Source organism: Homo sapiens, chromosome 15, assembly GCF_000001405.40.
Source record: "Homo sapiens chromosome 15, GRCh38.p14 Primary Assembly".
NCBI lineage: Eukaryota > Metazoa > Chordata > Mammalia > Primates > Hominidae > Homo > Homo sapiens.
This window is the reverse complement of record NC_000015.10, coordinates 31,055,507-31,071,736: the sequence shown is the minus strand read 5'-3', so window position 1 is coordinate 31,071,736 and position 16,230 is coordinate 31,055,507. Positions and strand designations below refer to the sequence as shown.

General features: G+C 44.9%; 1 protein-coding gene and 1 non-coding gene across 5 annotated transcripts in view; both read left to right on the top strand.

The window, feature by feature from the left end:
- The window catches only part of TRPM1 (transient receptor potential cation channel subfamily M member 1), a 160,096-nt gene that overhangs the window by 89,424 nt on the left and 54,442 nt on the right, over nucleotides 1–16,230 (top strand). For 3 of the 4 annotated variants that reach the window (NM_001252020.2, NM_002420.6, NM_001252024.2), the window contains 8 exons: nucleotides 1,511–1,706; nucleotides 3,645–3,858; nucleotides 4,550–4,674; nucleotides 5,490–5,661; nucleotides 8,445–8,619; nucleotides 9,035–9,158; nucleotides 10,223–10,295; nucleotides 11,093–11,193. In NM_001252020.2, the coding sequence (NP_001238949.1) occupies nucleotides 1,511–1,706; nucleotides 3,645–3,858; nucleotides 4,550–4,674; nucleotides 5,490–5,661; nucleotides 8,445–8,619; nucleotides 9,035–9,158; nucleotides 10,223–10,295; nucleotides 11,093–11,193 (1,180 nt within the window). Of the gene's footprint in view, nucleotides 1–1,510; nucleotides 2,348–3,644; nucleotides 3,859–4,549; nucleotides 4,675–5,489; nucleotides 5,662–8,444; nucleotides 8,620–9,034; nucleotides 9,159–10,222; nucleotides 10,296–11,092; nucleotides 11,194–16,230 lie in introns of those variants that run through there. The other variant, NM_001252030.2, reaches the window with a different exon arrangement.
- On the top strand, nucleotides 6,596–6,705 carry MIR211 (microRNA 211). Its single transcript, NR_029624.1, has one exon. It is a non-coding gene; the product is annotated as a microRNA 211 (primary transcript).

The window sequence follows — 16,230 nt, the reverse complement described above, 5'->3', positions numbered from 1 at the left end:
ATGCCACGGCCTCTCAAAGTGTTGGGATTACAGGCGTGAGCCACTGCTCCTGGCCTGAATCACATACTTGAAATGGGTTGATTATGTATTACATGAATTATATCTCAATAAAAGGAAAAAAGAGAGAGAGAAAGAGGGAGGGAGTGAGGGAGGGAAGATGGAAGGCCATCAGAAGGAGGGTGGGAGGGAGAGAATGGGGAAGCGAGGAGGGAAAAGAAAAAGGAAAACAAAAGGAAAGACAAGGCAGGGAGGAAGCCCCAAGGCTGGCCCCATGGGAGCACAGAAAGCCTTCTGGCAAGGGCCCTGCACATGTGCATTACACACGTGCACGCATTCGCACATCTAGCCCAGTAAAGACATCCTCTCTAGTCCTCAAGCCAACTCCATCCCCAGCTCTCCCACCCCATTTGCTAGGGTGCACGGCTGCCCACACAGGCTCCTGCTGGGTCCAGGAACAGACCTCCCTCCATGCCTTCCCTGGATTCCATCTCCACCAAGGCATCACTCCAGGCTACTGCAGTTCTTCCTAACAAACTTTTCAAGTTTTTGGTGGGTCCAGTCCACTCAAAACAGTGGCAGCCAAAAATGATGGAGTAACAGATGAAATCCTAGGCACACTAGGAAAAGAAGCTGGCACAAAGCCAGGGAACATGTTCAGAGAAGACTAGAAAGCCAGAGTTCAGGGAGGGCGTGAGAGGTTGGCTGGGTTTTGGGAGAGATGCTGTAGAGCTAGAAGATCCCTGATGCTGGGGCGGGTTATGGCCCAATGGGCCATCTGTCCAAGGCAGAAAAAGACATATTGGTCACTTTTGAAATAGCCTTTTAGCATTACTTGAGTGGAGAAATGTTTTACTAAGGAACAGAACAATTCAACAATATGGAAAAATTTGGCTGACACCTAAGTAAGTAATTTTAGAACTTTGGGAGGCCAAGGCAGGCGGATTGCTTGAGCCCAGGAGTTCGAGACCAGCCTGGGTAACATGGCAAAATGCTGTCTCTACTAAAAATATAAAAACTAGCTGAGCATGGTAGTGTGTGCCTGTGGTCCCAGTTACTAGGGAGGCTGAGGTGAGAGGATCACCTGAGCTTGGGGGAGGTCTGGGCTGCAGTGAGCTATGATAGCGCCACTACACTCCAACCTGAATGACAAGAGAAAGAAAAATCTGGAAGGTCAACTCTATGTTCGGAGGGCATGTCTATACTTTGTCACAGAATGTTTAGTACTTGATGTTTATACTGATGTTATCAAGACATCAAAAAGTTGAAATATTTTCCGAAAGAGCAACCATCCAATGTGTCTAAAATCGACTGGCATATAAAGAGATGTGCACTGATTATCTGGAAAAGGCCATCAGATGGGGCATTTCTGTCCCTAATAACGCTGGCTTACTGAAGTGTTAGTAGGCTCCTGTTTGGGCCCAACTCACCTGTTGAGGTTAATTCATTTTTGCTAATGAAGGGGAAAGGGGGAGATTGTTGTAGAAAGACCCTGCTTTGCCTTTGTTTTCAGGTGTTGCTGTGGCCAGTTCACCAACCAGCATATCCCCCCTCTGCCAAGTGCAACACCCAGCAAAAATGAAGAGGAAAGCAAACAGGTGGAGACTCAGCCTGAGAAATGGTCTGTTGCCAAGCACACCCAGAGCTACCCAACAGATTCCTATGGAGTTCTTGAATTCCAGGGTGGCGGATATTCCAATAAAGCCATGGTGAGAAAGGCATTCAGACATGGTGCCACTAGGATCACAGCTTTCATTGGCGGCCAGTCTCCCAGCCCCAAACTGCAGATACCTGGTCTTCTTCATGGCTGTGGCTCAATCTTCCTAGATATTTCATTGAAAAACCAAGAGATATATCTGTGCACATGGCTTTTAGCCATGAGGCTTGGAAACTGGACACCACTGTAAAGAACATCTAGTGTCCCGTAAATCCATACCAAAGCTCTGAATCCACAAACCAGGCTCTGGCCCAACCCTGCAAACACACTCCATTGCTCCATCTTCAGTAAAGGAAGACAAATTCATTTTTCTAATAACTGTGGACCTGCAGCCCCCTTAGATGTGTTGAGAGTCTTTGGAAATATTTTCCTCTGAGGTCTGTCCACAGCTTCCCTGGGCCTGCGCTCAGCTGGCCCGAGAAGGACCAAGGTCCCTCACATTTGCATGTAAACAGGGAGTGCCCTCTGCCCTTCCAGTGAGCCCTGCCAGCGTGGGGGAGGCTTCAGCTCTGTGATCCGTTCCAGCTCACTCTGAATTACACTCCTACATGCCCAGTCACAGACTTTTTGCAATTTCATTTTATTTCACTGGCCCAACATCATTGTTAAAATAAAATTTAGCTGTGTTCCAAATGCTGCAATATACAGTCTTCTGAAATGGCACCCTACATATTAGCCCAGACACAAAGAAGCAGTTTATAGGAGACAAGGCATCTGAGCATTATTAGCCTCCTCCTCACTTTGAAGAGGTCAAGTTCATGGGTGGGCCCATGATCGCCTGACCCATTTACTCAACAACATCCTCATCCAACTTCTTGGGCCACTGTTCTAGCTAAGCCAGCTTTGGAACCTATTCCTCCAACATTAGGATTGCCAGATAAAATACAGGACACCCAGTTATATTTGAACTTCAGACATACATTGGATAAATTTTCAGTACAAGTATGTCCCAAATATTGCATGATTTATTGCATTTAATAAAAATGTTGTACTGAAACATTTTTCATTGTTCCTCTAAAATTCAAATTTAACTGGGTGTCTTGGTCTGTTTGGCTGCTATAACAAATTGCCTTAGGCTGGGGAATTTATAAACAACAGAAATTTATTGCTCACATTTCTAGAGTCTGGGAGGCCCAAGATCAAGGTGCCAGCAGATTTGGTGCCTGGCGAGGGCCCATCCTCTGCTTCATAGATAGCACCTTCTTGCTGTGTCCTCACATGGCAGAAGCAGAGAACAAGCTCTCTGAGTCCTCTTTTTTTTTTTTTTTTTTTTTTTTTGAGTTGGAGTTTCGATCTTGTTGCCCAGGCTGGAATGCAATGGCTCAATCTTGGCTCACTGCAACCTCCGCCTCCCAGGTTCAAGTGATCCTCCTGCCTCAGCTTCTGAAGTAGCTGAGATTACAGGTATGCGCTACCACACCTGGCTAATTTTGTATTTTTTTTAGTAGAGACGGGGTTTCAACATGTTGGTCAGGCTGGTCTCGAACTCCTGACCTCAAGTGATCCACCTGCCTCGGCTTCCCAAAGTGCTGGGATTACAGGCATGAGCCACCACGCCCAGCCCTGAGTCCTCTTTTATAAGGACACTAGTCCCACTCACGAGGGATCCATGCTCATGACGTAATCACCTTCTAACATCCCACCTCTTAACACTATTGCATTGGGAATCAGGTTTCCACGTGAATTTTAGGGGAATACAAACATTCAGACCATGGTACCAGGCATCTTTTATTTGTATTTGCTAAACCTGACAATCCTCTCCAAAGTTCCCTTCAGTCACTTGGCCACAGACTCACACAGAGGGCTCCAGGGCCCTGAGGAAGAGACAAGCCAGGCAGTTCTTGCTTGGACATGAGCAATAGCCTCACTCCCCTTTGACACGAGAAGCAAAACCAAGAACAGAGGCTGAGTGCCACACACTCTTTCACAGTATATCCGTGTATCCTATGACACCAAGCCAGACTCACTGCTCCATCTCATGGTGAAAGATTGGCAGCTGGAACTCCCCAAGCTCTTAATATCTGTGCATGGAGGCCTCCAGAACTTTGAGATGCAGCCCAAGCTGAAACAAGTCTTTGGGAAAGGCCTGATCAAGGCTGCTATGACCACCGGGGCCTGGATCTTCACCGGGGGTGTCAGCACAGGTAAGAGCAGGCCCTTTCCCTCCCGATAATCAATGTACCACCCAGAACTCACTGTGGTCCCCAAAGAGCTTCCTAATAACTAAGGACAACAAAACATATTGCATCCTGATCCTATTTATGACTAAAGTGAAGTCTTTATTCCCTAGCTTGTGTTTTTTACTTTGATATGACTCTTAAAAAAAAACAGCAAATATAGTAATGATTGTCATAATGGTCAACATCTCTGGGTCACCCATGACATGCAATATTCCTTGAACTGAGCCCTGTACAAGCATCATCTTCATTAGACCTCTCGACAATCCTTTTCCTGTTATAGGACAGGAAACTGAGGCACAAAGACATTAAGGAACATACCAGGCAGTATGGCTCTCAATTTTCACTGAAGGCAGCCAAGGAATGCCAAAAAGACTCCAGTTATTTCCAGCTTTAGGCCTTAGACATCTGTAAAGGAAATCCCTACACAGTTGCTTTGGTTTCTGTTTTTGTTTTCCCGTTTCTAGAGTTAATGCAAGATTGCTCGTTATCATGAGCTCAGACTTTCAGTGTACTTTGTTTTAATGATAAAGATGAGTGTGTCTCACCCCTGATCTGTAGGGAATGTAGGGACTCAGGGCAAGTGTCCCTAAATTTCATGAATGATGGTGTGCTGGGAAGTAAAAGAGCCTAAAATATGACCAATGGCTGCTCACAGGTGTTATCAGCCACGTAGGGGATGCCTTGAAAGACCACTCCTCCAAGTCCAGAGGCCGGGTTTGTGCTATAGGAATTGCTCCATGGGGCATCGTGGAGAATAAGGAAGACCTGGTTGGAAAGGATGTAAGTGTTTTCTCTGCAAATGTTGGCAGTTTTTTAAAATTAATGATTGATTTTGAGGTAACCGTTGATTCAGATGCAGTTGTAAGAATAATAAGAGAGCTCCCTTGCAGCCTTTCCCATTCCTCCAATGGTAACATCTTGCAAAACCATAATGCAAGATCACAACCCGGATACTGTCATTGATAAGGTCAAGGTGCAGAATGTTTCCATCAACACGAGGATCCCTCCTGTTGCCCTTTCATATACATATACCTCACTCCTTCCTACCCCCACCTCTTCCTTAACCCCTGGAAACAACTAATCTGCACCACCCCGCATTTCAAGAAGGTTCTGTAAATGGAATCATACAGTAATGTAACCTTTGGGGATTGGCTTTTTTTTCACTCCACATAGTTCTCTGAACACGCGTCCAGGTTGCCATATGTATTGGTCTTCATTCCTTTTTACTGCTGGCTGACATCCCATGATATGGAGGCACCAGTTTCTTTAACCATTTGTCTGTTGAGGAACAGTTTGGCTGTTACAAGTAAAGTAGCCATAAACATTCCAGTGCAGGATTTGAGGTTAACATAGGTTTTCATTTCTCTGTGATAAATGCCAGGGGTGCAATTGCTAGGTTGTCATTATCTAAAACAATTAACTTTCTTTCTATTTTAATGTAACAATTGGCAAAAATAAAACCTTCAAAAGGCAGGGTAGAGATGTGAGAATAAGTTTTAGTGCAGTCACTCCACACATATGTATTGTGCTTGCTTCCCTTGTTGGTCTTAACATCCAAGTCCTGCAGGTCTGATTTGCGCTGTGCACTTTGTCAGGTAACAAGAGTGTACCAGACCATGTCCAACCCTCTAAGTAAGCTCTCTGTGCTCAACAACTCCCACACCCACTTCATCCTGGCTGACAATGGCACCCTGGGCAAGTATGGCGCCGAGGTGAAGCTGCGAAGGCTGCTGGAAAAGCACATCTCCCTGCAGAAGATCAACACAAGTAAGTGCTGGCAAAGGCACGCAGTCCTCCTGGGCTGATGCCATCACAGTGGAAACAAGGCTGAGAAGGAGATTGATTGCCCAAGGGGATTAGAAGATTAACCTTGCTTCTTGTTAGGTCAACAGAAAATGACTCACCTAGATGTCTTACCTTAGCCACCTACCAAATCACATTCACTGGGCTACATGGGGATGCTTTGCCCCAGGTTCACAAGTTAGCACGAAATAACCCTCAGTGCTCGCCATGGTGATGGCCTTGCCCACCCTGTTGCCCAGTGGTTCTTGTTCCCTGTAATTAGTTGTTATTTTTTAAGTGTTTTAACAGGAAAACAATTTCTCAAAGATTTAGTAGGATTCTTTCTATTTGCTGATAAGTATTATGTGATTATTAAATATCTCTGTAATGCTGGGCCTTTCATGTAGACTAAGATGGCCAGGTGGGGACATATCTGGAGAGGGCTGCAGGAGCCATCTGCTCCTGAAGGGGCATCATCCTTGCTGGTCCTGAGGGGGAGCTGTCACTGTCAGACGAAAGCTGAGGTCGAACTAGAGAGAAAGACGCAAACCTCAACCAGAAGAAACAATGATAACAACTGGTTAGAATTACAATAACTGGTATAATCTCTTGGAGCATGTTTATACTCCAGTAATTCTTAACGTCAAACAATTGTTAAATGATCTGAAAGAGCAGTTTGTTTTTCCCATTACTGGCAAGATTTTTGTGGGAGACCATCTAGTCCTGGCGAATGGTCATTGGGAATCATCATGTATGGGACTGTGATGCTGCAGAGTGGGTAGAATGGGGATGGCCTACTAGGAAAAGTTGTAGATTTCCGAGAATCAGATCTCGAAGAATACATTGGTCGATGACTGAATGTTTTTTGTTCTCACATCTCTAATTTTTCTGGACTTGTAAGTTTTTACAACACCCCATTTCACCTGGCCATGTGACTTGTGGGCTTCCCTTTGTCATCCTTCGCCTAGGGCTCTGAGCAGGGCAGGGACAGCAAAGGGGTGCTCAGTTGTCACTTCCCACAGCACGGAGCTTCGAGGACTCCAGCCTAAGCCAAGAAGAACCTGTTCTACTCTGTTGCTCGAAAAGAAGGTGATTTGGCCACCATATTCCTAAAGATTGAAAATATCAATCCTTGCTTGGGTTGGAAATCTCAAAGGCGGAGTCCAGGATATCTTAGTTCATTTTTCCAATATCTCCTGGTCAGGGCTTTGCACAAAGCAGACCCTCAATGCATGTCTGCTGAAATGAACTTAGCTGTAATTACTCTGGTGGACACAGCAGAGTTATTCAACATATGTAAGAGTCCCTGACTGTAGAAACACCTCATGGAAGCAAATTAGAAACTCTGAAATGGCTCATTTGAAATTCTCCAATCTTCTCTTAACCAATGCTGGCAGATTTTTATCTGAAGCCCTTCAGAGCTGAGACCAACGATACTTCCACTTGCCTTTAGTTAATATCGATCAACTAATTCCCATCACAACTAATGGACAGCTGGTGAAATAGGCTCAGAGTGTGATCTGTCATGGCCAGTGTGGCATAAAATTAGGAAGTAGGCAAATGTGCCTCCACTCCCATTTCCTTCCCATTCCAGAATCCCAACTTCCTGGAATCTTCCTGCCACCTCTTGCTTCCCAGAGCCATGCCTGCAGGTTCTGCCACCAAAAGTTAGTTGGTACCCACTGTGTTCTTGAAGAGTCCTATTAACTGATAGAGACAGAGGGAGGACTCTGGGAACAGGTCATTAACTGATGGGCCACTAGTGGTCCAAGTGGCTGCGTCCAAGATCTGCACTTTATTCCAGCCACTGAAGACAGAAACGTCAACAAGAACAGTGTACCTCATTTGTATGCTACTTAACGTTTACAAAATTATTTGCTAGCCAAACACATATTCTGATATTTTTACAACTGCAGGAGTTAAAGGAAGCACTGTGATTGTTCACCTTTTACAAATGGCTGTCTAAGGCTCTTGGTGATTTGGTGATTGGCCCAGTGTCATAAGGGAGAAGCCAGGAATTGAACTGCAATTTCCCTGGCTGGTCCAGATCCCCTTTCATCATCTTATTCTTCAGGGACAGCCATCAGGGTGGGAATTTCAGACCATAGGCTAGGACAGCCAGGGGGATATTTTTCCAGCCAGGAATACCTTCCAATATTTCTCAGTGGTCACCTTGAAGTAGCCCCAACATCAGGTGGGTGGGTTATTCAGGAGTTTAACCATATGTGAGTCAGAAAGTTTCAGACTTTGAGGTCCTGGTTTTCCCAATGAGGCCATAATATGTGACAGAATGCAAGAATGATAACTGGGCTGGGCACAGTGGCTTACACCTGTAATCCTAGCACTTTGGGAGGCCAAGGCAGGTGGATCACTTGAGCCCAGGTGTTTGAGACCAGCCTGGGCAACATGGCAAGACTTCATCTCTACCAAAAATTAGCCAGGTGTGGTGGCATGTGCCCATAGTCCCAGCTACTCAGGAGGCTGAGGTGGGAGGATTGCCTGAGCTGAGAGGGAGGTTGAGGCTGCAGTGAGCCATGATCATGCCACTGCACTCCAGCTTGGGGGACAGAGTGTGATTCTGTCTCAAAAAAGAAAAAAGAAAAGAAAAGAAAAAGAAAATTGTTATCACATGCCTGAATTCCTTCCAGCCAGATAGAACATCCCCCAAGTCGTAATGTTTTTACTCTTCCCCATACTTCAGGAGTTAAAACGACTGGGTGGACAGTGCAGGGCACAGGTGGTATGGGCGAATGTGGTTTGTGTTGCAGGACTGGGGCAGGGCGTGCCCCTCGTGGGTCTCGTGGTGGAGGGGGGCCCTAACGTGGTGTCCATCGTCTTGGAATACCTGCAAGAAGAGCCTCCCATCCCTGTGGTGATTTGTGATGGCAGCGGACGTGCCTCGGACATCCTGTCCTTTGCGCACAAGTACTGTGAAGAAGGCGGGTAGGATTTCTGACGCGCGAGGAAGGGCGGGTTCGTAACTCCCTCTTTGTCGGGCCAAGGAGAAAATCTAAAGTGGTCTGCTTAGACATTCCAAACGTGTTTAAATCAGGAAGATTTGCTAGATCTCCTCTCCCATTTCCTCAGGTCAGCATCCAGGGGAACCATCAGAGGCAGGGTGTTCCTGATGGAATTCTCTCTCCCTCATTTCCAACTTCATTTGCCCTTAGAAAGTTTGCAACAAAGCTGGAATTTAGGACAAGTGAGAATACGATGTTTGACTATGGTTACTTTTTGTCTCCTGTGTCAGGATATCCTCCCACAGCAAAGTCTCAAATCAAAGACAGAGATATGTCTGACTCATTCATATATAGATTTAACTTGCCTTGTTTTGTTCTCTTGCATTTTCTTTGAACAGAATAATAAATGAGTCCCTCAGGGAGCAGCTTCTAGTTACCATTCAGAAAACATTTAATTATAATAAGGCACAATCACATCAGCTGTTTGCAATTATAATGGAGTGCATGAAGAAGAAAGAACTCGTAAGTGTCTTGAATTTATTTCCAAACAAGCTCTGTGGAGAGAATTATGTTTCCTTTTCTAATTCCGCCCATGTGTGCATGACAGGGTTATTCATATTTTAGTCCGGCCTTTTCTGAGAGACAGTACAAATGCATACCAAATTGGTGGCTGTGTCCACATGACAGAAGCTGAACGAGCCCACACAGGGGAGGGCCCCTGGTGCTTTCAAACTTTAGCAAGTGGGGCATGACACCACACAACACCCTCTGAGGCTCATAATATTACTCAGATTGATAGTCTTGGGGAAAAGGGCCACATACCACCCTGTCAGGCATGTTTACAAAGTTCTGTTATTTTATTTCCCACTCCTTCCCTCTTCCGTTCCATTTACAAGGAATAGGTACTCTTGTCGTGCACATAAGATGGCCTCTTCAAAATTCTAATTCCTACAAATATCTCCTGTCTGATTAGATACGACTTTGCATCTCCGATGGCGACTGAGATTTCGGAGTGTAGCTCCCTCCTCTCGAGGGTGCCAGAAGGGATGGGGAAAATAATAAAGTCAGTATGCAGGCAGGCACCCCACGGCAATGCCATAACTTCTGGAAATCAGCCGGGCACAGTGGCTCACACCTGTAATCCCAGCACTTTGGGGGGCTGAGACAGGCAGATCACCTGAGGTCAGGAGTTTGAGACCGGCCTGGCCAACATGGTGAAACCCCATCTCTACTAAAAATACCAAAACAATTAGCCAGGCATGGTGGCGTGCACCTGTAATCCCAGCCACTTGGGAGGCTGAGATAGGAGAATCGCTTGAACCTGGGAGGTGGAGTTTGCAGTGACCCAAGATAGCGCCATTGCACTCCAGCCTGGGCGACAAGAGCGAAACTCCATCTCAAAAAAAAAACAAAAAGAAAAAAGAAAAAGAAAAGAAAAAAAAGAAATCAACAGCACTTGCTTTGAAACTGTTTAGTGCTCAGGATCATTTTATTACGTGTCAGTCTCTGTGGTCATTTTGTAACAACACCCCATATCTCCTTCTTGTTTTCAACTTGGCTTTAATTCAGTCTTTTCACATTTTCAGGTCACTGTGTTCAGAATGGGTTCTGAGGGCCAGCAGGACATCGAGATGGCAATTTTAACTGCCCTGCTGAAAGGTGAGCTCTCAGGAAATGGTGACTCCTGTCCCTCTGATGTTGGCCTAGCCGGCAATCCTTCCCTCCCGGCCTCCCATGGACTATGTCTGCTGGTGCTAGACCCTGAGCCAGCCAGGCCACTTGAGCAGTCTCAGCATGAAGCCACGGCAGAATGACAAGGCTCGCTGTTTCTGTGGGGCAGAGGTCTGTGGGTGCTCCTGGACCATCATGGGCTGAGGTCAGAACCGTTTCTATTTGTAACTGGTTCATTGAGGGCTTCAGCTCCTAGAGTGTAAACATCAGATGGGTTCCTTTGCAATCACTGCATTCCGCAGTGTTCTGTCCAATTTCCCCGTCTTGGTTCTAATGACAGGCTTCAGGCCAGCGTTCATGGCCGGGCGGGGAGGGTCTGCTCTGGGATGCACACTTCCTCCCTGCCTCTCAGTTAGCCTGGTGCCATGAGGGGGCAGGGAGGACAGAGAGAGGGGAAGGGTCACTGTCAGGCTGGCTGCCTGGCAGTCCCAGGGTTCCAGCCTTCCTGGAGATCATCTCCAGGGTCCCTGAGTCACTGGGTTCCTGTTCTGTCCCTCCCAAGGAGACCATGCACAGCTGGCATGGGAAGAGGCTGCCTCCACCTTCCTCCAGGGAAGCTCTTTCAGCTCGGAGCCTTTGTGGTCATTCAGGGCAAGAGCAAAGCCAGCAATGCTTAGTTCTAGGCCAGCAGCCCAAGGGAAGCCTGTGCTCACCACCCAGCACCTGCCAAACCCTGGCGGTCCAGGCGTGGAGTGAAAAATCATTCCGGTTTCTTGCCTTTCCAGGAACAAACGTATCTGCTCCAGATCAGCTGAGCTTGGCACTGGCTTGGAACCGCGTGGACATAGCACGAAGCCAGATCTTTGTCTTTGGGCCCCACTGGCCGGTGAAACTGTTTTTTTTCGATTCATATCATTGATCTTGACTTTGTACAAGTGACCTATTAGTATGTTCTCCCTTGTGACATGGAATTCAGGAAATTATGTGGGGTTTCTGATGATATGATATGTAATCTATTAGGCTCATTAGAAGATGTCACTGTTTAACTTCAAAGAACCAACAAGAAGTAATTCCACATTCAAACCAGTACTCCTGAAGAAATTAATCACCAAATATTTTATCGTTGCTGATGAAAGTGGGTTTTTACCTTTTTAAAGAAAAAGAAGAAGAAATAAAATAGCTTATTAAAATTTAATGCAATGCTTCCATCCAGGGCAATGATTTTTCAAACTATGTTCCATGAAACCCTGGAGGCCTAGAGAACTCTGTGTGTGTGTGTGTTTATGTGTGTGTGTCTATGTGTGTGTCTGTATGTGTGTATAGGGTGTCTGTGTGCATGTGATATGTGGTGTGCCTGTATGTGGTATGATTTTGTGTAGGTGAGTAATGTGTGTGGCCATGGGTGGTATAGTGTGTATGTGGGTGTCATTGGGAGGGTATTGTGTGTGTGTGATATGGGATGAGCAGTGTGTGTGGAGTGTTGAGGAGTACTAATGTGTGTGTGTGACATGGGGATGAGCGTGTGTGTGTGTGAACACACATAAGTCTGCATGATAAAGGACTCCAAGCCTCCTACTTCTTCTTCAGTCAAAGCAGCTTCTTTGATCCATTTTATAGATTAGGAGTCAGGATAAATTTGTGTTTGCAAAAAGGGCTCTGCTGCTTATGAAAGGTAGTAGGAATATCTAGAGAGTTTATGTTGGTTTTAAAAACCACATTTCTTGGCCAGATGTGGTGGCTCACACCTGTAATTCCAGCACTTTGGGAGGCCGATTTGGGAGGATTGCTTGAGGCCAGGAGTTCAAGACCAACCTGGTCAACATAGTGAGACACCATCTCTACAAAAAATAAAAAAAATTAGCCAGGCATGGGAGTGCATGCCTATAGTCCCAGCTACTTTGGAGGCTGAGGCAGGAGGATTGCTTGAGCCTAGGAATCTGAGGTTACAGTTAGCTGTGACTGCACCACTACACTACAGCCTGGGTGAGAGAATGAGATCCCATCTCTAAAACATAAAACAAAAAACAATGCAAAACCATTTCTCAAAACATCCCTGGCATATTGCTGCACAAATGCATTTTACTTAACTGCCTCTGTGTTTAGGTCTCCCAAAGCATTTAATTGCCTCCCAAAGCATTTAACTGCCTCTGTGTTTAGGTCTCCTGGAAGTTGCTTCCACACATTGCCATAACACGTTTTATCACTCTTTATTGATTGATCATGTGTAGACGGATCCATCAATTCTCCACTTGGTAATAGAAGGAGGTGGATTGCTCACTCTGCTTCCACTGCCCCTGTTCCTCCTGGATTTGATAGTTGCCTGTTTAATTCTATTTTTTCTTTTTTTGAAATGGAGTCTCACTCTGTTGCCCAGGCTAGAGTGCAGTGGTGTTATCTCAGCTCACTACAGCCTCTGCATCCCGGATTCAAGCGATTCTCCTGCCTCAGCCTCCCAAGTAGCTGGGACTACAGGCACCCACCACACCCAGCTAAATTTTTTTTGCATTTTTAGTGGACACAGGGTTTCACCATGTCGGCCAGGCTGGTCTCAAACTCCTGACCTCAAGTGACCCACCCGCCTTGGCCTCCCAAAGTGCTGGGATTACAGGCATGAGTCACTGCACCCAGCCCTGCTTAATTCTTATATTGGTCACCTTTATGACGGTAAAGAGTACGTGGAACCACCTACTTGTTCTGTCCGCTTCAGACTCCCATTTTGTTAAATGAGGAAATTCACTCCATACTCCTCCTTCCTCTCCTGACAAGTTTCATCTTCCTAATTCAATCAGCCCCACTTTTACAAGGTGCTTGACATGATGAACATGTACATATCCTTCTTTAATCATTGAGGTCCTGCTTACATCTTACTCTTTAATCATCATTCAGTTTTTGTACTTAGTCTCTATGTTGATTCTAAAAAAATGGAGAAACCAGCAGCTTTGACATTGTTGTGATTACATGGAGATTGTTCACTGCTGAACCGCAAAGTAGGATTGAAGTCAAGGAGAAGGGAAGGTAGTCCTGGGTCATTTATCTGGCTCACACAAAGGAAAATATGACAGGCATCAAGGTTTCCATCATTCACCAACTATTTAAAATTAGGTGACACTTTAATTTCCTTCATATTTGGACCATGACTTATTTGAATAGATATTTGCTTTTCTCCACATTTCTAATTGATTCTCTTTTTTTCTTCCAAACATTTGCCTTGATGTCATTGCTGTATCTATTCTTTTTTTTTTTTAAGTATTTTTATTGTATCTTTAGTTTGGTTCCAAACAAATAGATGTAAAGTTTGGTACCTGCCTATGTACACTTGCCACTGCTAATGTTGAGGCTTATACTAGTCCGTTTTCACACTGCTATAAAGAATAGCAGTCTTCTGAGACTGTGTAATTTGTAAAGGAGGTTTAATTGACTCACATCTCCAAATGGCTGGGGAGACCCCAGGACACTTACAATCATGGCGGAGGACAAAGGAGAAGCAAAGGCACATCTTACACGGCAGCCCATGAGAGAGAGAAAAGAGCACAAGGGGCTGCCAAACATTTTTAAAACCATCAATTCTCATAAGAACTCTTTCACTATCATGAGAACAGCGTGGGGGAAACTGCCCTCATGATCCAATCACTTCACATCAGGCCCCACTCTTGACACCTGGGGATTACAACTGGAGATGAGATTTGGGTGGGACACAGAGCCAAACCATATCAAGGCTCTTGTCAGCAACGTGGATATATCAAGCATGGCTGCAGCAAAGGCTACCCTGTGGGGAGCTAGGGCAAAATTATTGCACTCTTTCCAAGATGAAGCCATACAGATATTACCTTAAAAATGCCATTTTGTACTTTTATTTGCATATACATAGTTTATATTTAATATATACTTTGTACTTTAAGTTCAGGGGTACAAGTGCAGGTTTGTTATGTAGGTAAACTTGTGTCATGGGGGTTTGTTGTACAGATTATTTCACCACCCAGTTATTAAGCCTAGTACCTGCTAGTTGTTTTTCCTGACCCTCTCCCTCCTCCCACTCTCCTCCCTCCAAAAGGCCCCAGTGTCTGTTATTCCCCTCTATGTGTCCATGTGTTCTCATCATTTAGCTCCCACTTATGAGAATATGCAGCATTTGGTTTTCTGTTTCTGCCTTAGTTTGCTAAGGATAATGGCCTCCATCTCCATCCATGTCCCTGCGAAGGACATAATCTTGTTCTTTTTTATGGCTGCAGCCATATCTATTCTCTTAATTGTTACTGTCCCATTTCTTCTTGAAGAATCTTTCAAAGCCCCATGAGTTCCTACCCCCATCTTCCCTGGATGCTCTCAATGCCTACTGTACAGTTGTCTACATCAGACATCCCTTCGTTGCACTCTGAGACTGGCCATTGCCTCCTAGACCCCATGTCTTCCTCCCTTTCAGATTCCTTTTTCATTTTGCTGGAGTACATCTTCAAGTAACTTTTACATAAAAGCATGTGGGAGAATTACTGTCTGAGTCTGTGTTGTGTTTCTGTAACAGAATACCACAGATGGGGTAACTGATAAAGAAAGGAGATTTATTTCTTACAGTTCTAGAAACTGGAAAGTCCAAGATCAAGGGGCTGGTATCTTGTCAGGGCCTTCTTGCTACATCATCCCATGGTGGGAGGTGAAAGGGTAAGAGAGCGAGAGACAGCGAGAGAGGGCTGAACTCTTAAAACAAATCTCTCAAGATCATGAACCCTCTCCCTCTATAAAAGCATTAATCCATTCATGAGAGCAGAATTTCATAACCTAAACAATTTTAAAGGTCCCATCTCTCAGCACTGTTGCACTGGGGATTCAGTTTCCAACACAAGAACTTTGGGGGACACTTTCAAACCACAGCAATTATCATTCTGTGTCTTTACATGTCTGAAAAAAGTCTGCCTCACATGAGGCTCAAGATTGTCCTATGATTTTCATTCAATTATAGATGAACCATTGTTTTCTCTCTGCTCTTTGCTTTTTCAGTGCTTGAAAATTTCACAAGGATGTATCTTCTATTTCAAGCAAATGAAAATAGAAGTGTATAGAGAATACAAACTCAAGCAGCCATATCTTCACACATGTAGACATTTAATTCTTCTGGCTTTCAAAGGTCCCTTTATGCTGAAGACCTGAATCAGCTCTGTGAAATTTTCTTCTATCTCTTCTTTGAGTATTTCTTTCTTTATTATCTCTTTCCCTTCATCTGGATTTTCTATTAGTCAAGCAACTGCTGGTCCCCTTCTCCCAGACTGACCGTCCATTTTCGGTTTTTTATTTCTCTATCATTTTGCTGTATGTTTTTGGAAATCTCAACTTTTTCTTTAGCTTTTATACAATTTTTAAAGGTTTAGGCACTCATGCTTTTTATATTTAAGAAAGTGTTTTTGTTCCTTAACAATTTTATTTTCTTATTAGCCTATTTTCATCTCACAGATGCAATATCTAAGGATATGAATTAGATTTTTTGAAGTTATCTTCTGTTCCCTAGATTATCTCTATTTTCTCCCTGGTCAGCTGTTCTTTTTGTTCATTTTGGGTTTTTCTGTTATGCTGTTGATTTTCTCAAATGCTCTAGATCCTTGGCTGTCCATCACACTACAGAATGAGGGATAGAACTGCTTAATTGGTATGGAAACCCATTTTGCCAACAGGTTTTTCTCCTCCCTGGGAGGACTGCCCAGGAATTCCCTGCTTAGGAAGGAGAGTATCGCCTGAACCTCCTGCTTTGCTGAGTGCCGACTGGAGAGGGCTGATGGGCTCTGGGCCTCCCTATTCTTTAGCAGACATCCTCCCAGTTTTTACTGGGAGTGAAGCCCAGGAATGCAGTTGCTTGCTCTGCACCCACCACAGTGGCAGCCTGGAGACCGGGAGGGGATGTGTGGCCTCCTGCTCTGTAGACCATCTTCCGGTCACC